The following is a 26,217-nucleotide window of genomic DNA, read 5'->3' on the forward strand; positions in this document are numbered from 1 at the left end:
AATATATACACCAATTTGGCACCAGCAGTGTATCCAAGTGTTCATTGCCCCTTTGTTCCACAGACACCAGGTGTTACCAGCTTTTGTCTTTTTTGTTTTGTTTTGTTTTGTTTTTTTTTTTTTGACAATCTGATCTGCTTGTTTTCGCCAGACCTTTCCCATTGGAAGAATCATATCAGATGGTCATTAAACTTACAGATTCACAGGGTCACCCCTTAGACTTTCCAGATTTAAAACAAAACAAAACAGTATGACCAGTTGAATTTGAACTTCAGATAAACAAAATTATATACACTAAAACATTCAGATTTACCTAGATGTACTCTATTTTATCTTTCTACCCTTCCCATAGAAGACTCTGTATTGAACCAAGGTGCTCTACACAGTAGCCCCTACTAAGCTCCCAGCAGATGCCAGCATCAGTCATCCATGTAAGTGAGCTTTTTTGGAAGTCCCAGGATGCATTTTTCTGTATTTAGATGATTGCAGTCCCTGATGACAGATACCACATTGAGCAGAAATCATCCAGCGAAGCCTAGTGAACTCACAAAATCCTGAGAGATAATAAATGGCTATTGTTTGGGACGTTTTGTTAAGTAGAAATGAATATCCAAAACATGTGGATTTGGTGAACTTTCCCTCTTTTTCTCTAATCTATTATACTGGAATTTGTAGAGATTCTCTTAGCCTTAAAGCCTTGGTAGGACTTTGTTATATATTTTGCCATAATCTGCATATGAGTTTATGTGTGGGTATTGAATTCTGAACATTTCCTCAATTCCTTCTTGAAGGGATTTTTCAAGGGAAAATTTCACAATATATGATTTTCAACCCACTCTTGGAATTTAGAACCTAATTCAAATCCCCCTCCATAAAAGGAGCTTCCACTGCAATCACTCATTTTAAGGAATTCAGAGGCTGCTACTACACGCTCCTCCCAAGCCATATGGAAAATCATATCTTCAGCAGGTTGCTTGATGAATATGCTATTGGGACAAGGGTTATCTATCACTTGTGAACTGTTTTTCAAAGAAGGTGTCCTGAGATACTTTCTCCTGCTACAGGGATAGCCCTTGGCAAGGAGATTACTTTCCTTGGGTACACATAGTCAGGGCTCCTTCAGGAGACAGCAGGTAGTTAACTGTTCATTGCAGTCCTTGGCCTTTGTGACTGTCCCAATGCAGCACTGCTGGATGGACTAATCTGTCCAGTTCTGGGGTTCATTCATAGAAAGCCCATGTGACAGTAAATCTAAGTCATATTCTCCAATATCACTTTTATGAGGAATAAAATCAATGTATTATGCTTATTACTTTTTTGTGATTTTTTTAGTTGGTTTAGAGTTCAGACTAAGAGCAGGAAGGTATTTTGGGGGCTTCTTAAACACAAAAGCATTGTAAAGCAAGACCATAGAAAGAGTTGAGGAGCCAGTGAGGCACAGAAAGGGGAGTAGAGCTGTAGGCCTGTTGTAAGACCCATCCCTGAGGACAGAGCAGGATGATTGCTCCTGAAGGGCGGCTTACTATTTAGAGTTTTGAAGGGAGAGGACCTGGGGTGAACAACCCATTTCTCCTTTCAAACTTACCAGTCGGTTAAGTCATTCCTGCGATAGAGAAGGAGTGAGTGTGTAGAGAGGCTACATGTGTTTTTGTTTTTTTCTTTTTTTTTTTTTCATGGATGTCTCTCCACATGGAAAAAGTATCAAAAATGTAGGATAAAAATTTTCCAGGATAACCCAATGTGTTATTGAATTGACTAGATGTCTGCCTACTAAATGATGATATTATTATAGGCCTGCTTCCATGAAATAAATTTGAGATTCCTTAAATGACATTTTATGGTATTTTAGATCATTTTAATCATAAATATGATTATAGACATTCTCTAGTTTTCCGCCACAGATGACTAACCACTTAGCATAATGTATGAGTTTTGCACGTTCACTTTCAGAGGGCTAGCTCATCACCAAGAGCCCTGGGGTACGTCCTGGGTCTCTGGATACTGGTGATACTCCTCTACTGTCACTTTTAAACAAATAAAATTTTTGACCACAGGGACCTGCTTTCTTCTACCAAACTGGGCAGAGTTTCCCCAATTGCCTGGGTCCCAGCCTAGTTCCTCTAGTGAGTATGCTTTTGCAGGTGGTGGTCTAAAGTGGTCTATATGCTTTCAGCTATAGGCAAAGGAACTATGCAAAGGTGTGTGAGACATAGAGGACAAGTCAATGCATCACAGTTGCCATGGAAACCTGAAGTCATTATGGGGCTTCTGCATCTTTTAATAGAGCAGAAGACCTAGAATAATATGGCTATGAGAGCAAGGTCCTGCCTTCAGGTGTTTGGGACTCAGTTGAGGTTGTGGGTGCCCCATGGTGGGGGCTGAACTGCCCTGGGATGAATGAGAGAGACATAGGACTCTTCTCACCCCAGTGAGTGTCATGTATTGCTCCAGGGTGTCCTGTAGCTACTTTCCACATAAAGGCCAGGCATGGGAGGATGAGACTGGTAATGACTCTCTTTGACCTCAGCTTCCCCTTCTGTAAAATGGGGATAAGAATGCTCACATACAGGATTGCTGCAACCGGGATTGTAATAACACAAATGCAAGCCCATAGCCCTGTGGTTATTGCAGAATCAGGAATACCTGTGTGAGTTGAGGTCACTTCTCATTCCTTTTCAATTTTGTTGTTAGAAGATAGATGAGGAAAGGAGAAGAAAAAGGTCCTAGTGAGAAACCCACTGACGACCCTTCTAATTGTTATGATCACTACCCAATTGTATCAGTGTCATTGTTCACTAACCCAGTGCCTAGCATGGTGCCAGGCACATAGTTACTCTAAGAAAGCACAGTGATTGCTGGATTCTCTTTCTCCTTGTACAGCTCTTCATGTGGATGTCTGAGCTCATATCAGGTGTCTGAAAGAGGCAGATTCTGAGGATTTGGGTCATGATGGCTGCCAAAGCTTCTACTCCTGACTTAAAGGGCAACAATCCTAGGAGACCACCAGCACTTACATCCCTGGTAGGACATGACACCTGCTTATGGTGAGTTCATGGACCTGAACAAAAGCATGTGGTGGAATAGCTCCTGTGAGGTTCACAAAATAGCTTAAAAATAAAGAAGCTACTTTCATCTCATCACTGGGGAAGAGGTTTAGCGGGTGGAATTTCCTTTCATCAGCAACTGTATGCTTTGAAGTAGCCCTTGACACCCATCTAAGTGATGCCTGCTTTGAAAGCAATGAATTACCCACACTGAAGAAAGAACTTGATCTTAATATGCACTTGTAATAAATACATATTTTTTCTGACTGTATAAGTCATTCCCATTTATCTCCCAGATGGGGGTTGAACTATGCAGTTAGTTAGAAGATGTCCCTAGCAATTTGATTCATGTATTAATATTTCTCCTTGCAGTCTATCAGTTTTAGCCTCGTTTTACATTTTTTAAAAGACTTTAAATCAGAAAAACAAAAATTGAGGGAATTCCACATGAATTTTAATATCAACTTGTTAATTTCTAGAAAAAAATTTATGCTAGTATTTTGACTGGGATTCCATTGAAAGCATAGATCATTTTGGGGAGAACAGACATCATAACAAAACTGAGTCATCCAACTCAAGAAGAGAAGAAAAGGCCTAAAGACAATCTACAGGTCAACTCTAGAAAGATCAATCTATAAAAGAATAGTTATAGTACTTCCAATTTTATATTTGTGGTTAGAATTGAATCAGTTGAATTGTGTTTTTCTTCCTTACCTGATGAATCATGAGTTCTTTGGTGGTGAGAGAGAGCGAGAGAGCATGTGGATATATCAGTGTATGTACATGCACATATATATATATATATATATATATATGTTTATATCACTGAAGTTGTGATGAGTATCTATTGTTAGGAACACTTAAGGAGTGTTAATGTGGTCATGTCAGTCTCTTTCAATTCTTCGCACATTTTATGAACCAAATCAGAGTGATTATTCTTTGCTTTTTTTCCACCTTTCTCCTTGGCCAGCATGGTTACCATGGTGACTCATTGACTACTGTGGGATTTTGTGCAGACTGCGCATCCATGTATGATTCTCGTCTGAATCACTCACACCCAGTTGTCTGTCCACCAGACATAGTATTAGCTTTTGATCTTATATGCAGTTGTTCACTTCTAAAGGGCTCAGAAGAAACTTGCTTTGCTTCTCTGAGGTTAAGCTACATAACATAAGAGGACACTAAGTAACTTAAAAGAAAAAGAAATAGGTTGTTGATATTCTCCTTCCTCAAGCTTTATCAGGAGGTTAGAAGAAATATTACTGGAATCATACAGCATGCACTCTCTTGTGTCTGGCTCCCTTCAATCAACATAATGTGTGTGAGATTAACATGTATTGTTGTTTGTAGTTGTAGATTATTCATTCTCGTTGTTGTAAAGTATTATATTGTTTGGATACTTCACAATATAGTTATCTGTTATAAAAACTTGGGTATTTTCCAGTTTTTGACTTATCATGAGTAATGATCATACGAACATTTTTGTTTGTATCAAATAGATGGACATATATTTTCATCTCTCTTGGGCATATACCAAAGAATAGCATTCCTGAGTCATAGGGTATGTCTGTGTGTGGCTCCATAGATACCACCAAGCAGTTTTTACAGTGTTTTTTTTTTTCAATCTATATTCCCACCAGCAGTGTGTGAGAGTTTCACTTAATCCATATCCTCACCAGCACTTGGTATTTTCCATCTTTTCCATTTTTGTTGTTCTGGTGAGCATGTGGTACTATCTCCTACTGGTTTTAATTGTAATTTCTCCAAAGTGTCAAGTCCCTTTTAATTCAAAGAAGGTCCATCCTTTTTTTCAACCTTCTACTTAGAGTTCTCCAACAAAACAGAACGACTCATATATATATGTGTACATATATATGTATATGTGTGTGATATATGTGTATATATATACACACATATATACACATACACTCATATATGTATGTATGTATATCTGTGTATATATATATATACACACACACACACAGAGACATTGCAGAGATATTACAGGTTTAGTTGCAGACCACTGCAATAAAGCAAATACCATATTAAGCAAGTCACATGAATTTTATGGTTTCCCACTGCATATAAAAGTTATGTTTACACTACTGTAGTCTATTAAATATGCAAATAGCATTATGTCTATAAAAATAGTGTACTTACCTTAATTTAAAAAGACTTTATTGCTAAAAACTGCTAACAATCATCTGAGCCTTCAGTGAATTATTATCTTTTTGTTGGTAGAGGGCCTTGATGCTGTTGATGGCTAACAGATCGGGGTGGTGGTTGCTGAAAGTTGGCACAGTTCTAATAATTTCTTAAGATAAGACAACAATGAAGTTTGCTGCATCCATTGACTCTTCCTTTCACAAAAGATTTTTCCATAAGCATGTGATACTATTTGATAGCGTTTTACCCAGAGTTCAAGTTATTTCAAAATTAAGGTCAATCTTTCAAACCCTGCCACTGCTTTATCAAGTTTATGTAATATTCTAAACCTTTTGTTGTCATTTCAATGATGCTCACTGCATCTTCAACAGAAGTAGATTCCATCTCAACCAACCACTTTCTTTACTCATCCAGAAGAAAAAACTCCTTATCTGTTCAAGTTTGATCTTGAGATTGCAGCAATTCCATCACATCTTCAAGCTCTACTTTAATTCTAGATCTCTTGCTGTTTCCATCACATCTGCAGTTATTCTTCCACTGAGGTCTCGAACCCCTCAAAGTCATCCATGAGGGTTGGAATCAACTTCTTCCAAATTCCTTTTAATGTTGATATTTTGACCTCTTCCTATGAATCACAATGTTCACAATGGCATTTAAAATGAATTCTTTCTAGAAGATTTTTCCATTTACTTTGCCTGGGTCCACCAGAGGAATCACTGAGCAGTAGGCCTCAATAGCGGGCTTAAAGTATTCAGTAAACCATGCTGTAAACAGAGGTGCTGTCATTTAGGCTTGTTGTTTTATTTCTAGAATGCAGACAGAGTATATTTAGCATAATTTTTAAGGGCCCTTGGATATTCAGAATGGTAATTGAACATTGGCTTCAATTTTAAGTCACCAGCTTTATTAACCCCTAAAAAAAAGAGTTAGTCTGTCCTTCGAAGCTTTGAAGCCAGGCATTGTTTTCTACTTTCTAGCTATGAAAGTTCTACATGGCATCTTCTTCCACTATAAAACTGTTTTCTCTACATTGAAAATATTTTGTTTAGTATAGCAACCCTCGTCAATTATTTTACCTATGTCTCTGGATAATTTGCTGTAGCTTCTACATGAGCACATGCTACTTCACCTTGCACTTTCATGTTGTGGAGATGGGTTCTTTCCTTAAACCTCACGAACCAACCTTTGCTAGCTCCAGCTTTTCTTCTGGCTACACTTTTCTTCTGCTGCTTCCTCACATTTTCTTAGCCTTCATAGAATTGAATAGAGTTAGAGCCTTGCTCTGGATTATGCTTTGGCTTAAGGGAATGTTGTGGCTGATTTGATCTTCTATCCAGGTCACTAAAACTTTCTCTTTACCAGCAATAAGGCTGTTTTGCATTCTTTTCATTCATGTGTTCACTAGAGGAGAACTTTTAATCTCCTTGAAAAACATTTACTTTGTGTTCACAACCTGGCTGTTTGGTGCAAGAGGCCTAGCTTTTGGCCTGTCTCAACTTTTGACATGCCTTGCTTACTCAGTGTAATCATTTCTAGCTTTTGATTTAAAGTGAGAGACATGGGACTCGTCCTTTCACCTGAACATTCAAAGCCATTATAGGGTTAATATAATAGCCTAATTTCAATATTGTTGTGTCCCAGGGAATAGGGAGGCCTGAGGACAGGGAGAGAGACCGAGAAACAGCCAGTCAGTGAAGCAGTTAGAGCACATACATTTATCAATTAAGTTAGTCATCTTAGATGGGTGTAGTTTGTGGTGCCTGCCCCGAAACAATTACAACAGTAAAATCAAAGACCACTGTTCACAGATCACCACAATAGCTATTACAATAATAATGAAAAAATTTGAAATATTGTGAGAATTACCAAAATATGACAGACACACAAAATGAGCACATGCTATTGGAAAAATGGTGCTAATAGACATGCTTGATGCAAGGTTGCCATAAAACTTCTGTTTGTAAAACATGCAATATCTGTGAAATGCAATAAAACAGAGATATGCTTGTATGTATATACACACACAAACACACACATATATGTACACACACACACACAAACACACAGAGGGTCCTTGACTTATTATGGAGTTACATCCCAATAAACCTATCCTAAGTTGAAAATATCATAAGTCAAAAATGCACTTAATACACCTAACCTACTGAACATCATAGCTTAACCTAATTTGCCTTAAACACACTCAGAACCCTTACATTAGCCTACACCTGGGCAAAATCATTCCATACAAAGTCTATTTTATAATAAAGTATTGAATATCTTCTGTAATTTATTGAATACTGTACAGAAAGTGAAAAACAGGTGTATGAGTACTCAAAGTACAGTTTCTACTGAATGGATATCACTTTTGTACCACCATAATGTTGAAAAATTATAAGTTGAACCATACTGATAAAGATTTATTATAAGTAGTTGGCTCATGTAATTATGAAGGCTGAGATTTGTCAACATCTGCAGTAGGCAAACTTGATTTCCAAGAGAGCCTGTGGTATAGTTCCTATTCAAAACTGAAGGTCTGAGAATCTGGAGAGTTAATGTTGTAAATTCCAGGCCAAAAGCTTGCTGGCTAGAAACACAAGAAAAGGTGATTTGAATTCATGTCCAAAGGCAGGAAAAGACCAATGTTTCAGTTCAGAAAATGAGGCAGAGAAATTCCTCCTGGTCAGCCTTTTTGTTCTGTTTACATCTTCAATTGATTGGACGAGGCCCATGCACATTAGAGAAGGCAAATTTCTTTACTCAGTTCACCCATTTGAATGTTAATCTCATCCAGAGACACCATCAAAGACACACCAAGAATAACGGTTTTTTTTTGTTTGTTTGTTTGGTTTTTTTTAGACAGGATCTCTCTCTGTTGCCCAGGCTAGAGTGCGGTGGCACCATCTCGGCTCACTGCAACCTCCACCTCCCAGGTTCAAGCAATTCTCCTGCCTCAGCCACCTGAGTAGCTGGGATTACAGGCGTGTGCCACCACACCTGGATAATTTTTGTATTTTTAGTAGAGACAGGGTTTGGCTGTTGGCCCGGCTGGTCTTGAACTCCTGGCCTCAAGTGACCTGCCTACCTCGGCCTTTCAAAGTGCTGGGATTACAGGCATGAGCCACCATGTCCAGCCCAGAATAATGTCTGACCAAATATCTGGGACCTTTGTTGCTCAGTCAAGTTGACACATAAAATTAACCATCACACATTCCAATTTATTTGCTTAAGATATTTTGCCCTATGGAGTTTGCTTTGTGGATTTTGCTGACTTATATCCTTATTGTGTTGTTTATTATATTCCACTGGCAACTTCTTTTCCTTTAAATTTGTATTAGATTTAGAGTCTTGATCCAATTCAGATTTTTTGGCAGAAAAATCTGTGGTGTTGTTTATTCCTAAAGCATTATACCATGAGGAGGTTAATTGTATCTAGTTGTCTCTCCTCTTACGATGTTAAGATTGATCACTAGGTTCAAAAGTTGTTAGATTTATTGATTATAAAAATTCCCATCTGCATTATACCTCAAGTATTTTGCAGCCTCTAAATGTGTATAAGTCCACATTTCATTAAAAGTTGTAGCAAGGTGATGTTCTAATTCTATTTTTGGCATTTATTAGCTTGAATTATTCTATAAAAGAAACATCCCCTCATCAACTATAGGTTAGTATAGTATGCATAGGAAAATAAGATGAATGCTTAATTCTTTTGTTATATTTCTACTTTTCAAAATAATGGGTTGTTCTAGGATTCTTCAGAGGGGAGCAGTGAGTTGATTTTGTTTTGTTTTCTTTTGTTCTATTCTATTATTATTTTAAAGTGTTTTCATAAGCTCTAGATGTTTCTATATCTGATGTGTTTTAACCTATTGCAATATTTTTATTGATGTTCAGATTTTTCTGTCTTTGTGAATGGAAGCTTCTTTAGCTCAACTTATTCTTGACATGGTTTTGAGTATGTTAGTTTGGTCTAGACTCCTCTGGTACCATTCCTACCCCAGACCTGGAGTCAGACATTTTTTCCAAAGGAGTCTGGTTCTTTTTAGTGGGAAATGTTTTAGAGGTCTCATTCTTGGTACTAGAGTTGCCCATTACTATTGGGTTGGTCATTATTACTTATCCTTTTCAGTGCTTAAAACCATTAAATATGTATTATATTTTGAGATAATACACATGATTGTCTTTAATCCTGGGCTGCTGTTCTATCCCTTTATGCATAATCATTTTTATCAATGTTTGTTTTGACCTTCTAATTTTAAAATTATAAGCAAATACATTATTTTCTCCTATTTTATGGTTTAAAAGTAGGCTACTCTACTTCAGTGGAGTCCAATATGATTTCTGCAGAGATAAAGAGTCTCTGTCTACACTGTTCACCACAGTAGCCACTAGGTCCCTGTGGTTCTTGAACACCCAAAATGTGGTGATTGTAATTGAAGAACTGAATTATTTATTTCATCTAAATTTAATCAACCTAAATTTAAATAGCCATATGTGGCTAGTGTCTACCATAATAAACAGCAACAGCTCAGACATATTTCTGCACCTCATTTTTTTCCGCTTAAGAATATATTCTAGAGATCAATACATAGCAGTATAGAGAAGGAGTCCTTGCTTTTTATTGCTGCATAGTATTCTAGGATATAGATATACCTTAGATTATTCAATAAACCACTTATTGGTGGACATTTGTTTTATTTCTAGTCTCCTGTTGTTATGATTTGTTCTGCCAGTAATGGCCTTGTGTTTATGCCATTTGGTCTTTTTTCATTGTGTTTTTGGGATAGATTCTTAGAAGAAAGATTGCTGGTACCAAGATAAAATACCTACGTGTAATAAAATAGAAGATTTAAAACAGAGTGTATCTGGAAATGTAGCAGCAGAAAGTGACCTGAGGTCTTTTCATTCCTTTTGTTCCACATGATTTTTGGTTTCTTTCTTTCTAGGGTGACATGGGTAAAGGAATTTCTTTCTTTTTTTTATTTTATTTTCCTTTTCATTTATTTTGTATTTGTACAATACTATTTGTTTACTTTTTTTTTTTTATTTCCACAGGTTTTTGGGGAACAGGTGGTATTTGGTTACATGAGTAAGTTCTTTAGTGGTATTTTGTGAGATTTTGGTGCACCCATCACCTGAGCAGTATACACTGAACCTGACTTGTAGACTTTTATCCCTCTCCTCCTTCCTACCCTTTCCCCGAGTCCCCAAATTCCATTGTGTCATTCTTTGCATCCTAGCTTAGCTGCCATTTATGAGTGAGAACATATGATGTTTGGTTTTATATTCCTGAGTTACTTCACTAACAATAATAGTCTCCAATCCCATACAGGTTGCTGGAAATGCCATTAATTCATTCCTTTTTATGGCTGAGTAGTATTCCATCATATATATCGATATATACCACAGTTTCCTTATCCACTCATTGATTGATGGGCATTTGGGTTGGTTCCACATTTTTGCAATTGCAAATTGTACTGCTATAAATGTGTGGGTTCAAGTATCTTTTTTGTATAATGACTTATTTTTCTCTGGGTAGATACCCAGTAGTGGGATTGCTGGATCAAATGGTGGTTGTACTTTTAGTTCTTTAAAGAATCTCACACTGTTTTCCATAGTGGTTGTACTAGTTTACATTCCTACCAGCAGTGTAGAAGGGTTCCCTTTTCACTGCATCTATACCAACATCTATTTTTTTTTAAATTTTTTTATTATGGCCATTCTTGCAGGAGTATGGTGATCATATTGCATTTTGGTTTTTATTTGTATTTCCCTGATCATTAGTGATGTTGAGCTTTTCTTCATGTTTGTTGGCCATTTGTATATCTTCTTTTGAGAATTGTCTATTCATGTCCTAGGCCCACTTTTTGATGGGATTGTTTGTTTTTTTTTCTTGTTAATTTGTTTGAGTTTGTTGTAGGTTGTGGATATTAGTCCTTTATCAGATGTATAGATTGTGAAGGTTTTGTCCCACTCTGTGAGTTGTCTGTTTACTCTGCTGACTGTTCCTTTTGCCATGCAAAACTCTTTAGTTTAATTAAGTCCCAGCAGTTCATCTTTGTTTTTATTGCATTTGCTTTCGGTTTCTTATCATGAAATCCTTGCCCAAGCCAATGCCTGGAATGGTTTTTCTGATGTTACCTTCTAGAATTTTTGTAGTTTCAGGTCTTAGATTTAAGTTTTTGATCCATCTCTAGTTGATTTTTTATAAGATGACAGATGAGGATCCAGTTTCATCGTTCTGCATGTGGCTTGCCAATTATCCCAGCACCATTTGTTGAATAGGGTGTCCTTTCCCTACTTGAAGTTTTTGTTTGCTTTGTCGAAGATCAGTTGGCTCTAAGTATTTGGCTTTGTTTCTGGGTTCTCTATTCTGTTTTATATATATATATATATATATGTGTGTGTGTGTGTGTGTGTGTTTGTGTGTGTGTGTATATATATGTGTATATATATGTGTGTGTGTGTGTGTGTGTATATATATATATATATATATATATATATATGTATATAAATGTTTCATATATAGTCTATGTGCCTATTTTTATACCAGTACCATGCTGTTTTGGTGACTCTGGCCTTATAGTATAGTTTGAAGTAAGGTAATGTGATGCCTCCATATTTGTTCTTTTTGCCTAGTCTTGCTTTGGCTATACAGGCTCTTTTTTGGTTCCATGTGAATTTTAGGATTGTTTTTTTCTAGTTCCGTGAAGAATGATGGTAGTATTTTGATGGGAATTGCATTGAATTTGTAGATTGCTTTTGACAGTATGGTCATTTTCACAATATTGATTGTACTCATCCATGAGCATAGGATGTGTATCCATTTGTTTGTGTCGTCTATAATTTCTTTCAGCAGTGTTCTGTAGTTTTCCTTGTAGAGGTCTTTCACCTCCTTGGTTAGGTGTATTCCTAAGTATTCTATTTTATTTTTTTGCAGCTATTATAAAAGGAGTTCTTAATTTGATTCTCAGCTTGGTTGCTGTTGGTGTATAGGAGAGCTACTGATTTCTGTACATTAATTTTGCATCTGGAAACTTTGCTGAATTAGTTTATCAGTTCTAGGAGCTTTTTGGAGTAGTCTTTAGGGTTTTTTAGGTATACAATCATATCAGCAAACAGTGACAGTTTGACTTCCTCTTTACCAATGTGGATCCCCTTTATTTCTTTCTCTTGTATGATTTCTCTGGTTAGGACTTCTACTACTATGTTGAATGGGAGTGGTAAGAGTGGACATCCTTGTCTTGTTCCAGTTCTCAGAGGGAATGCTTTCAACTTTTCCCCATTCAGTATTATGTTGGCTGTGGGTTTGTCATAGATTGTTTTTATTACATTGAGTTATGTCCCTTGTATGCCAGTTTTTCTGAGAGTTTTAATCCTAAAGGGATGCTGGATTTTGTCAAATGTTTTTTCTGTGTCCGTTGAGATGGTCATGTGATTTTTGATCATGGTGGATTTTCTTTTTGATAAGTTGTTGGATTCAGTTCGCTAGTATTTTGTTGAGGTTTTTTTTTTGTTTGTTTTTTGAAATGGAGTCTCACTCTGTTGCCCAGGCTGGAGTGCAGTGGTGTGATCTCAGCTTGCTCCAGCATCCACCTCCCAGGTTCAAGCAGTCCCACCTCAGCCTCCCAAGTAGCTGGGATTACAAGTGCGTGCCACCACACCTGGCTAATTTTTGTATTTTTAGTAGAGACAGGGTTTCACCATGTAGGCCAGGCTGGTCTCGAACACCTGACCTCAAGTGATCCACCTGCCTTGGCCTCCCAAAGTGCTGGGATTACAGGCATGAGCTATCATGCCTGGCCAAGGATTTTTACATCTGTGTTCATCAGGGATATTGGTCTGTAGTTTTCTTTTTTGTTATGTCCTTCCCTGGTTTTGGTATTAAGGTGATACTGGCTTCACAGAATGATTTAGGGAGGATTCCCTCTTTCTCTGTTTTTTAGAATAGTGTCAATAGGATTGGTACCAATTCTTCTTTGAATGTCTGATAGAATTCAGCTGTGAATCCATCTGGTCCTGGACTTTATTTGTTGACAATTTTAAAATTACCATTTCAATCTCACTGCTTGTTATTGGTCTGTTCAGAGATTCTATATCTTCCTGGTTTAATCTAGGAGGGTTGTATATTTCCAGGAATTTATCCATCTCCCCTTGGTTATCTAGTTTATTTGCATAAAGGTGTTCATAGTAGCCTTCAATGATCTTTTATATTTCTGTGGTGTCAGTTGTAGTATCTCCTGTTTTGTTTCTAATTGAGCTTATTTGGATTTTCTCTCTTCTTTTCTTGGTTAATCTTGCTAATGGTCTATCAATTTTATTTATCTTTTCAAAGAACCAGCTTTTTGTTTCATTTATCTTTTGTATTGTTTTTCTTAGTTTTAATTTTATTTAGTTCTGCACTAATCTTGGTTATTTCCTTTCTTCTGATGGGTTTGGGGTTGGTTTATTCTTGTTTCTCTAATTCCTGGAGGTGTGACCTTAGATTGTCTGTTTGTGCTCTTTCAGACTTTTTGACGTAGGTGTTTAGGGCTATGAACTTTCCTCTTAGCACCACCTCTGCTGTATCCCAGAGGTTTTGATAGGCTATGTCACTACTGTCGTTCACTTTGAATAATTTTTAAATTTCCATCTTGATTTTGTTTTTGACCCAGTGATCATTCAGGAGCAGGTTATTTAATTTCCATGTATTTGCATGGTTTTGAACCTTCAACTCATTTTGGAGTTGATTTTCAGTTTTATTCCACTGTGGTCTGAAAGAGTGCTTGATATAATTTCAATTTTCTTAAATTTATTGAGGCTCATTTTGTGGTGTATCGTATGGTCTATCTTGGAGTTTATCTTGGTCTACCTTGTGTTTTTTTAAATTGTATGTTTGTTTTATAGGTCCTGTGAGATTTATGCTTTAAAGAGTTTCTGTTTTGATGTGTTTCCAGAATTTGTTTCAAGATTTAGAGCTCCTTTTAGCAGTTCTTGTAGTGCTGGCTTGGTAGTGTCAGATTCTCTATTAAATAGAATGTATATTCTGTGGTTTTTAAATGGAATGTTCTGTAAATATGTGTTAAGTCCATTTGTTCTAGGGTATAGTTTCAATCCACTGTTTGTTGACTTTCTGTCTTGATGACCTGTCTAGTGCTATCAGTGGAGTATTGAAGTCCCCCACTATTATTGTGTTGCTGTCTATCTCATTTCTTAGGCGTAGTAGTAATTGTTTTATAAATTTGGGAGCTCCAGTGTTACGTGCATATATACTTAGGATTGCGGTAGTTTCCTGTTAGACAAGGCCTTTTATAGTTACATATTGTCCCTCTTTGTCTTTTGTAACTGCTGTTACTTTAAAGTTTTTTTGTCTGATATAAGAATAGCTACTCCTGCTCACTTTTGGTGTCTATTTGCATGGAATGTCTTTTTCTACCCCTTTACCTTAAGTTTATATGAGTCCTTACGTGTTAGGTTGGTCTCTTGAAGGCAGCAGATAGTTGGTTGGTGAATTCTTATCCATTCTGCAATTCTGTATCTTTTAAGTGAAGCATTTAGGCCATTTATATTCAAGATTAGCATTGAGATGTGAGGTACTATTCCATTCATCATGCTATTTTTTTTCCTGTATACCTTGTGTTTTTTTTTAAATTGTATTTTTGTTTTATAGGTCCTGTGAAATTTTTGCTTTAAAGAGGTTCTGTTTTGATGTGTTTCCAGGATTTGTTTCAAGATTGAGAGCGCCGTTTAGCAGTTCTTGTAGTGCTGGCTTGGTAGTGTCAAATTCTCTCAGCATTTGTTCATCTGAAAAAGACTGTATCTTTCTTTCATTTATGAAGCTTAGTTTCACTGGATACAAAATTCTTGGCTGATAATTGTTTTGTTTAAGGAGGCTGAAGATAGGACCCTAATCCCTTCTAGCTTGTAGGGTTTCTGCTGAGAAATCTGCTGTTAATCTGATAGGTTTTCCTTTATAGGTTACCTGATGCTTTTGCCTCACAGCTCTTAAGATTCTTTCCTTCATCTTAATTTTAGATAACATGAGGTCAATGTGCCTAGGCGATGATCTTTTTGCGATGAATTTCCCAGGTGTTCTTTGAGCTTCTTGTATTTGGATGTCTAAGTTTCTAGTAAGGCTTGGGAAGTTTTCCTCAATTATTCCCCCAAATCTGTTTTCCAAACTTTTAGATTTCTCTTCTTCCTCAGGAACATGGATTATTCTTAGGTTTAGTCATTTAACATAATCCCAGACTTCTTGGAGACTTTGTTCATTTTTTAAATTATTTTTTCTTTGTTTTTGTTGGATTGGGTTAATTCGAAAACCTTGTCTTTGCATTCTGAAGTTCTTTCTTCTGCTTGTTCAATTCTATTACTGAGAATTTTCAGAGCATTTTGCATTTCTCTAAGTGCGTCCATTATTTCCTGAAATAATTTCCTTTTGATCGTTTTTTATTTATGCTATCTATTTCACTGAAGATTTCTTCCCTCGTTTCTTGTATCACTTTTTTGATTTCTTTAAATTGGACTTCACCTTTCTCTGGTGAATCTTTGATTAGCTTAATAACTGACCTGAATTCTTTTTTAGGTAAATCAGGGATTTCTTCTTGGTATGGATCCATTGCTGGTGAGCTAGTGTGATTTTTGGGGATTGTTAAAGAACCTTCTTTTGTCATGTTACTAGAATTGTTTTTCTGGTTCCTTCTCATTTAGGTAGGCTCTGTCAGAGGGAAGGTCTAGGGCTCAAGGCTGTTGTTCAGATTCTTTCGTCCCGTGGGGTGTTCTCTTGATGTAGTACTCTCCCCCTTTTCCTAGGGATATGGCTTCCTGAGAGCTGAGCTGTAGTGATTGTTATCTCTCTTTGGCATCTAGGCATCTAGCCACCTAGCAGGCTCAGTCTGGAACTGGGGGTTGTCTGCACAGAGTCCTGTGATGTGAACCATCTGCAGGTCTCTCAGCTGTGGATACCAGCGCCTGCTCCAGTGGAGGTGGCAGGGGGCTAAAATGGATTCTGTGAGGGTCCTTGGTTTTGGTTGTTTAATGCGCTATTTTTTGCTGGTTGGCCTCCTGCCAGGAGGTGGCGCTTTGAAGACAGCATCAGCTGTGGTAGTATAGGGAGGATCAGGTGGGTAGGGCCCTAGAACTCCCAAGAGTATATGCCCTTTGTCTTCAGCTACCAGTGTGGGTAGGGAAGGACCATCAGGTGGGGGCAGGGCTAGGCGTGTCTGAGCTCAGACTTCCCTTAGGCGGTTCTTGCTGCAGCTGCTGTGGGGGATGGGAATGTGGTTCCTAGGTCAATGGAGTTAAATTCCCAGGAGGATTATGGCTGCCTCTGCTGTGTCTTGCAGGTTGTCAGGGAAGTAGGAGAAAGCTGACAGTCACAGGCGTCACCCAGCTCCCATGCAACCCAAAAGGCTGGTCTCACCCCCACCATGGTCCCCCAACAGCACCAAGTGTGTTTCCAGGCAGTGGGTGAGCAGGGCTGAGAACTTGCCCCAGGCTACCAGCCTCCGAGGTGTGAAAGCAAGCTGGGCTTTCATGCCTCCTTTCCTGTGGCATCTGTACACCAGATTCATGCCTTCCCCTGAGTTCTGGCCAGGAGACTTCACATTTGGTTGGAATTGTTACAAAGTTCAACTGGAGTTCAACTGGAGGTTTCCTTCTCCCTGTGGTCTTTTCCCAGTAGCTCTGGTAGCCCTCCCCAAAGACTTCTGTGAGACAAGGCAGAAATGGCTTCCTAGGGGACCCAGGGAGCCCACAGGGTTTTTCCTCTTGCTTCCTCTACCCCTGTATTTCGCTCGGCTTTCTGAATTGACTCAGCTCCAGGTGAGGTCAGAATCTTCTTCCATGGTCTAGTCTTTCAGGTTCCCCAGTGAGGGTGTGTGTTCGGGGGTGGATGATCCCCCCTTTCCCACTTCCATAGCTTGGGCACTTACAGTATTTGGAGTGTCTCCTGGGTCCTGCAGGAACAATCTCCTTCTTTCAGAAGGTCTTTGGGTTCTCTCAGCTTTCCTTGTTTATTTCTGCAGTAGTTCTGGAGCAAAAGTACACGATGTGAGTCTCCACACACTGCTCTGTCTGTCCACATGGGAGCTACAATCTAGTCTTGCCTCCCATCCACTATGATCCCTCTGGAATTTCTTATTGAGCCCCAAGAAGAAATAGTACAGAAGAGCCAGGAATATTAATGGGCCGGCTGGACTGAAGATGAGAATCATTAACCTTGTAGCCCAGCTGCAAAACCCATCAACTGACCACAGGTCTTTGAGAAAGCCCCTTCCCTTTGTTGGCCTCAGCCCAAACACAGAGGAGCACTCAGTGTAGAAACAGTACAGAAACAGTGATTAGAGGTATGGGCTTTGGGGCAAGAAGTTTCTGAATTTGACCCTGGGAACCATCACTTTTTGGTTGTATGATCTATAGTAAGCAATTTATCTATTAATACTATATACCCTATAATTGTTAGCATATTTTATTATTATTCATTTTAACTATCAAAAGGGTGAATAATAGGAGTAGGAATACATGGCCAGGTATTATGTTTCATGAACCTATAATGAATTAACTGTTGGACAGTGTTTGATATATAGATTAAAGGAAGTCTATAGAAATCTCATGAGCAGACCCAAACATATCATATTATTCAATATGTTACCTGTATGCCATTTCCAATCAGATGCATTGTTTAAGAATTGAGGCTGGATCAACTGGTAAAGGGTTAATTGGGAAGCAAATTTGGGGCAAGGCACGGTGGCTCCTCCCTGTGATCACAGAACTTTGGGAGGCCGAGGTGGGAGGATTCCTTGAGCCTGGGAGTTCAAGATGAGCCTGAACAACATAGTGAGATCCCATCTCTACAAAAAATTTTTAAAAATTAGGCAGGAGTGATGGCACATGGCTGTAGTCCCAGCTACTGAGGATGCTGAGGTGGGAGGACTGCTTGAGCCCAGGAAGTCAAGTCTGCAGTAAGCTGTGATCACACCACTGTACTACAGCCTGGGTGATAGAGCAAGAACCTTAAAAAAAAAAAAAAAGCAAAGTTGTATCATATCTTTTACCTTGTAATTTAACCAGAATGCCTCATCCACATGTTAGTACTTAAGGTAAAAGGAAAACTAAAATAACAAAAAATACAGGGTACTAAACTATACATATGGTATTTTAATTATTATATGAGTTGTATATGTAATGCATGTACAGTGTGCATGTGCATACACGTATACACAAAATAAATCCCAAAGAACATAGCCCAATGTTAATTTCAACCATGATAGGATTAATTTTTTTTTTTTTGACACAGAGTCTTGCTGTGTTACGCAGGCTGGAGTGCAGTGGCGTGATCTCGGATCACAGCAGCTTCTGCCTCCCGGGTTCAGTTGATTCTCCTGCCTCAGCCTCCCGAGTAGATGGGATTACAGGTGTGAGACACCTGACATCCTGAGTAGCTGGGACTACAGCCGTGTGCCACCACTTCTGCCTAATTTTTAATTTTTTTTTTGGTAGAGATGGAACCTCACTATGTTGTTCAGGCTCATCTTGAACTCCTGGGCTCAAGGAATCCTCCCTCCTCGGCCTCCCAAAATTCTGTGATCACAGGCAGGAGCCACCGTGCCTTGCCCCAGATTTGCTTCCCACTGAACCCTTTACCAGTTGATCAGCCTCAGTTCTTAAACAATGCATCTGATTGGAAATGGCATACATGTAACATATTGACCACTCAGCTAATTTTTTTTTTTTTTTTGTATTTTTAGTACAGACGGGTTTTGCTGTATTGGCCAGGCTGGTGGTCTCGAACTCCTGGCTTCAAGTGATCCACCTGCCTTGGCCTCCCTAAGTGCTGGGATTACAGGCGTGAGCCACTGCGCCCAGTTTATGATGGGACTGGTATTTTTAACTTCACTACTTGGCCCAATATTAAGCCTTTGCTGAGTATGGATTATACTTATGAAAAAAACACTATATCCCTTAAAACCCCTGCTACTTATGAAATATTTCAGATAAAAAGTATAGAGAACTATAAAATTAATCCAAGTTAAGAAAAACTTTACTCCTCCATGACCCTTTCTTCACTCCTAGAAATAATCAATATCCAGAATGCGGTATTTATTCCACTTTTTTTTTTATTACTTTACTACATATGAGAGCGTCCCTAGACAAAATATAGTATTCTTTTGCATATTTGTCTTCATACAACCACACACACACATTAATACTATAGGTGTTCTTGTCCTCCAACTAGCTAATTTAACATTATATGTCTATATGTACACACACACACACAAACTTGATTCTTATACTCAAGAGAGCATTGTGAGGAGTTCAAGAGGAAACCCTCCTCCAGATCCCAGCACAGTTTTTGACACATTATTCACAGCACCAATGTTTGCTTCCTTCTCATCCCAACTGTGCTGAGATGTTATTTCTTTACATATTCACTTCTAATTTTACCATTAAGTATTCTTTTTGTCTGCATTCTTTTAGTTTACATTGTGGTTCTTTATCAGGCTTTCTGAATTGAATGTTTAACTCATTTTCATTTTTATTGATATAGGTATTTAATGCTTTAAAATAGCCTCTGATAGCAACTCTAGCTAAATTCGTACATCCTCTGTTTTCATTATGATTATATGCACCAAATTCTGCAACTTTAATCTATTTCCATTTGGGTGCAAGTTTTGTTTAATAGCCTCAGATAGAGTCAATTTTCATGAATGATCCATGTTTATATGAAAAGTAGGTGTGTTGCCTAATATTAGGCTTCACAATTTAGAATAAGTGTATCTGTAAGATCTACCCTTGGAATTATGTTGCTTAAGTCTTCTCTACAGTTGTTAAATTTTTCTCCACCTGAACGTTTTTGGATTATAGGAAATGTGGTAGAATTTCTATTATTAAATGGTGTGCTTCTTCCTACTTCTCTTTGCACTACTGTAGTTTTTGCTCTATCAATATTTTTACCACATGACTGCATATATGAGTAGCTCCCATCTTCCTTGTGAATTGTAGCCTTTGACTTTATCAACTGTGTTTTTTTGTCTCTTTAAATCCATTTTGGTCTCAGTTTTTTTCTTTTAATTATCAAGATTGTAACCCTTACTTTCTTTATATTGTCAACTGCCTAGTATATATTTATCCTTACATTTTTAACCTATATGAATACGTTTGTTTTACGTGTATCACTTGGAAAAGCACAGCTTTGGATTTTTCTTCAATAGGCAATCTGAAATACTTTTAATAGATGAGTTAAGCCAATTTATTGTTATTGATATGATTGATGTCTTTGCTCATTTGTGTTCAATTCTGTTGTATTGCTTTTAAACACAGAAATTGTATAGTCTTTCACTAGTTCATATGTTTATTTGCTATCTATATTTAGTATTTCGAATGGTTAATACATAATATCCTTGATATGGAAGAAGTCTTAATAATGAGTAGAGAAATCATCAAAAGATATGAACAGATAATTCACATAAAATGCAATATACATAGTCACTAAACTTTCAAAAATATACCAAATTACAATAATTCTGCCTGCCACGGGCTGCCAGTGTGCACCAGAGGTATCTCATGTTTCATCTTATGGATGCCCCAGAGTAGAGGATTTTACTGTCTTCTTTTACACTTATCAATTTTATTCTGACAGAATTAGAGTCATTCTATATGTAAATTCATACCCTGGGTTTTAAGTGAGGTATTTTTTTTTTGCTCCATGCAAACACGTCTGTGGAGAAGTTTGACAATGGTGGTACGGTGGTGCCCCCTCGTGACTGAAGCCTGAACTGCATGCAGCTTGAACATCACAGTAGGAAAGTGGGAGGGAGGAGTTGTGGCCCAAGCCCCGCCCTACAGAGTTTTCTAGAAGTCTGAGTGGAAAATTGGGCATTCCCAGTGTGTAGGAATACTGACAGCCTCCATTAAAAAAATGGAGCCTTTTACTATGTGGAAGAGAAAACTATGTCAGAATAATAAATATATATTTTAAATGCTTTGAGACATATGGATAAATAGCTGGAGACCTGGGTAAGCTAAAATGGATGCAGATCTTTTATTATCTTTGTAACCCAAGTTTGCCCTTATTATAACCATCTTTTCATGGAAATATACGTCTGTGATAACATCTTAAAATACTTAAACACAAAATCTCACTTTTTTTTTTTGGACTATGTATTTCATTGTGTGGATACCCTCAAATTTATTTCACTAGTATTATAGCAATGAAAATTTAGTTCCCTTACCATTTCTATGACCGAAAATAATGTACTTAACGCCATGCTCGTGTATATGCAAATATGTTTGTAAGCATTTATTTATAGTAAGTTCCTAAAAGTTTCATTTTAAAACCCTTTGAACTATAACATTTTATATTAATAATCAATTCAAAATACTATTACTAATTTATATTGCCTATATCACAGTATGAAAGTACCTAGTTCTCCACACATTAGAAATAATGAGAATCATTAATTTGGTACACAAGAAGTCATCTCTCATCATTACTTTCATTATAACTCGTTTTTGTTGCCTTCTGGAATTCCATCCTATGGATGTAACATAATCAATTTTCACAACTTCTTGTTATTCAGACTGTCCTGATATTTCCTATTATCTACACTGTGTGGATGGCATCTTTTCAGAGTCTGTGCACTGCTGAAGGGCACAGTTACAGGCACAATTCCTGTGGCTATTTGCGCTAGTGAGTTGAATGTGTCTTCCTTGAGTCCAGCAAGCTGTCTTAGGAGAAATATAACACAACATGATAAATGTCTCAGTTTGTGTGAGTGAGTGTGTGTGTGTGTGTGTGTGTGTGTGTATGCTGACAACCACATTTCCCTCTGCCCTTTTGTGGGTTTGTGTCTCATTTGGTTTCTCTTCCCAAATTCAGGCTCAGAAGTGACAAAAGAGAATTATCAGGATGGCAGTCCTTATAACCAGATGCTTATCAACATTCTTCACTACATTCTGAAGATGAATTTCTACAAGGGAAATTGTTTATGTAAGTGGTGTGTACCCTTTGATATGTATTGACATAGTGGCACACATAGAGTTGTGCCATTTAAACTCCCCAAGGGGAGGCATGTGAGGTCGGCCACAGAGGACTGAAGAAATTAGTTAATGCTGACATCCTATCACATAGGGTGGGTCCTGGACTCCGTCATGGACCTGCTGTCATGCCATTGCCACAATTGGAAGACGTGGAAGTGATCAGATGCAATCAAATTTTGTACACAAGCACATCCTGATGTAGCGATGAGGGAAAGGGGGAAGAGGAATGATCATTGCTTGGACTTACAGGACAGAGGCAGAAGGGCTAGGACACAGGCACTCTTTATACGCATTCTTTTTTTTTTTTTTTTTTTGAGACGGAGTATCGCCTGTTGCCAGGCTGGAATGCAATGGTGTGATCTCAGCTCACTGCAACCTCCGCCTCCTGGGTTCAAGCGATTCTCCTGCCTCAGCCTCCTGAGTAGCTAGGACTGTAGGCACGCACCACCACGCCCAGCTAATTTTTTGTATTTTTAGTATAGTCGAGGTTTCACCATGTTGGCCAGGATGGTCTCCATCTCTTGAGCTCGTAATCCGCCTGCCTCGGCCTTCTACAGTGCTGGGATTACAGGCGTCAGCCACCACACCCGGCCCTATATGCATTCATTTTTATGTAAAACATATGCATCAATTCTTTTGTATGAAAACGTTTGGTCATTACTGTGGTACAACAGAAGACCAGGTCAGTACCATATTTTTTTTTCATATGTACACGGATTTTTATTTTGTTTTAGACATTGTCTTACACACAATAGACATTCAGTATTTGTTGAAATTAATGAAAGAAAAGAGAAACATGAAAACGGTCTGAGAAGACAATAATCTGCTTTTTAATTTATAGACAGCAATTAGGTCAAACAATTATAGCAATGATGACAAAGAACAATATCTGAGGTACACTCAAAACCTTATGAGGGTTATTTGCCAGTTTTCCTGGCTATTTCTACACCCTTTGATCTCTAGTGAATGTTTCTACTTACAACTACATATTTTGTAAGTTTTGCCTACTGTATTTCAATCAACACTGTAAAAAATGAAGAGAGTCTTTTTGGTTCAAATTTGGTTTTTAGTTAATTATGTGATGTGTATATGATTTTTTGTTACCTTTTCTGTATAGATATCAGGAGAATCGAAAATATGTTGATGGTGGAATTGTGGTATGACATTTTTACTGACTACTACTCTGCAAAAGTTTTATCTATGAGCTCTATGGGTTGTTCCTGGCTTTTGAAAATTTACTTTAAGGAAGTGTTTTTGGAAATGGATTATAAGTATACAAGTATGCAATCTTATGTATTTGCAACTGTCTAAGATGTTATGATACTTTCCTCCCTGCAATCTGGCATTCATCCATTCAAGACATTTTAATTGAACTCTTACAATGTTCTTAATACTATGATAAGCCCTGAAGGTAAACTGTGACTAAAAATGTTGCAGGATAAAATACAGGATTCCTAGTTAAATTTGAATTTTAGATAAACAACATTCTTATACTAAAAATTATTCCATGTTTATCTGAAATTCAAATTTAGCTGAGTGTCCTGTAACTTTTTATTTTATTTGTTTACTTGTTTGTCTGTGATAAATATGGCAGCCCTAGTAAAAATAAATATAGCCCCTGATTTATTCTAATTTACTCTTTGGTTGGCAAGGAAGGCACTAATCAAATAAACCTGCAGATAAATGAAAAATTGCAACTGAGATAAGTATGAACAAGAATAAATTCAAAGCTGAAGAAGAAGAAAATAATTGGAAGAGAAACCTTGTCAGAAAGGGGACTTCGAAGCTCTATGGAAGTGTCAATGGACCCACAATACAGTGGGGAAGGAAAGAGATGCTCTGGCACTCTTTCTTTTAAATGACAGTTTTATATTCAACTTTAATGGTACAAGCAGTAGAAAGCCTGGCTGCTCACAGAGATGCAGAAAACACTCAAAGCCTTGTTTCAGGACCCACCCACTATCTTTCCCATTTGGCATCTGACTCATAATGAAGCCAGAGGCTGCAAGTTTTAGACGTATGCAAAGGTGGTACATTTCAATATTCAATTCCAATTAATATGGATATTTTCTGGGGTCAGAGAAGGAAAGGTTATTTGTCCCATCAGGCCACTGGCCTTTGCTCCTACCAGAAGTGAGAGGAACCATGCCTGTTTTTAAATAACAGGGAAGACTTTTTCAGCACAGGCTGGTGGGAAAGACACAAATCTATCTAGTCACCTGGGAGCTGTCAGACAGGAATGTTGCAAGTGACTACACCTTGCAGTGCCTCTGGCAGGATTAGGACTCTCAAACTTTCCCAATAGCCCAGCTTGTGATTCCTTCTTGCTTTCCAAGTTGCCATATGCATGCAATATTTAAAAATGGTCTTGGACAGTTTGTATTAATTACTCAGAATTTGAATATGCTCATTGTTTATCATCATTATAATAACAGTCCTACCTCAGGTTTATATGTTTATTCCCATATATTTGGGTTCCTTTAATTATCTTATGTATTTTTATGATGTCTGCAAAATAAAAGGGGAATGAGTGTTATTATACCAATTTTTATGGATGCGGGAACCTGAGCATAGCCTCTCTAAATAAGTTGCTAAAGTCATTTTTCTGATACAATCCACAACCAGATTGACTGCTTACCTAGACTCTTAGCTTTGTCTGGAGCTGTATCAAGCTAGTTAGAAGTGCAAAGTCTAAATTTATTGACTGAAAAAAAAAATCTCGAAAAGATAGTACTAAATATAAATAAATAAGTCACAAAATATGCAGCCAATTAGATTAAACTCATCAAAAATAAACTGACACCTGCTTTTTTTTTGCTTCCATTTGCTTGGTAAATATTCCTCCTTCCCTTTATGTCAAGCCTATGTGTGCCTTTGCACGTGAGATGGGTCTCCTGAATACAGCACACCAATGGGTCTTGACTCTTTATCCAATTTTCCAGTCTGTGTCTTTTCATTGAGGCATTTAGCCTGTTTACATTTAAGGTTAATATTGTTATGTGTGAATTTGATCCTGTCATTATGATGTTAGCTGGTTATTTTGCCCATTAGTTGATGCAGTTTCTTCCTAGCATCGATGGTCTTTACAATTTGGCATGTTTTTGCAGTGACTGGTTCTGGTTGTTCCTTTCCATGTTTAGCGCGTCCTTCAGGAGCTCTTGTAGGGCAGGCCTGGTGGTGACAAAATCTCTCAGCATTTGCTTGTCTGTAAAGTATTTTATTTCTCCCACACTTATGAAGCTTAGTTTGGCTGGATATGACATTCTGTGTTGAAAATTCTTTTCTTTAAGAATGTTGAATATTGGCCCCCACTCTCTTCTGGCTTGTAGAGTTTCTGCCAAGGGGTCAGCTGTTAGTCTGATGGGCTTCCCTTTGTGGGTAACCTGACCTTTCTCTCTGGCTGCCCTTAACATTTTTTCCTTCATTTCAACTTTGGTGAATCTGATGATTATGTGTCTTGGGGTTGCTCTTCTCGAGGAGTATCTTTGTGGTGTTCTCTGTATTTCCTGAATTTGAATGTTGGCCTGCCTTGCTAGGTTGGGGAAGTTCTCCTGGATAATATCCTGCAGAGTGTTTTCCAACTTGGTTCCATTCTCCCCATCACTTTCAGGTACACAGTCAAATGTAGGTTTGGTCTTTTCACGTAGTCCCATATTTCTTGGAGGCTTTGTTCGTTCCTTTTCATTTTTTTCTCTAATCCTGTCTTCATGCTTTATTTCATTAAGTTGATCTTCAATCTCTGATATCCTTTCTTCCGCTTGATTGATTCAGCTGTTGATACTTGTGTATGCTTCACGAAGTTCTTGTGATGTGTTTTTCAGCTCCATCAGGTCATTTATGTTCTTCTCTAAACTGGTTATTCTAGTTAGCAATTCCTCTAACCTTTTTTCAAGCTTCTTAGCTTCCTTGCATTGAGTTAGAACATGCTCCTTTAGCTTGGAGAAGTTTGTTATTACCCACCTTCTGAAGCCTACTTCTGTCAATTCGTCAA

The 26,217-nt window shown here is 37.8% G+C and overlaps 1 protein-coding gene and 1 long non-coding RNA gene across 9 annotated transcripts in view; both read left to right on the top strand.

Moving 5' to 3' along the window:
• Positions 1-26,217, top strand: part of ARMCX5-GPRASP2 (ARMCX5-GPRASP2 readthrough) — a 308,717-nt gene that overhangs the window by 243,629 nt on the left and 38,871 nt on the right. For both annotated transcript variants that reach the window (NR_146584.3, NR_146587.2), the window contains 2 exons: positions 2,881-3,044; positions 22,066-22,176. The gene's annotated coding sequence lies outside the window, so the exon portion shown is untranslated. The remainder of the gene's footprint in view (positions 1-2,880; positions 3,045-22,065; positions 22,177-26,217) is intronic.
• LINC00630 (long intergenic non-protein coding RNA 630) overlaps positions 1-26,217 on the top strand; it is a 195,371-nt gene that overhangs the window by 73,824 nt on the left and 95,330 nt on the right. For all 7 annotated transcript variants that reach the window (NR_146589.1, NR_146593.1, NR_146591.1 and 4 more), the window contains 2 exons: positions 2,881-3,044; positions 22,066-22,176. This is a non-coding gene — a long non-coding RNA (long intergenic non-protein coding RNA 630). The remainder of the gene's footprint in view (positions 1-2,880; positions 3,045-22,065; positions 22,177-26,217) is intronic.

This window comes from Homo sapiens, chromosome X, assembly GCF_000001405.40.
Source record: "Homo sapiens chromosome X, GRCh38.p14 Primary Assembly".
Classification (NCBI taxonomy): Eukaryota; Metazoa; Chordata; class Mammalia; order Primates; family Hominidae; genus Homo; species Homo sapiens.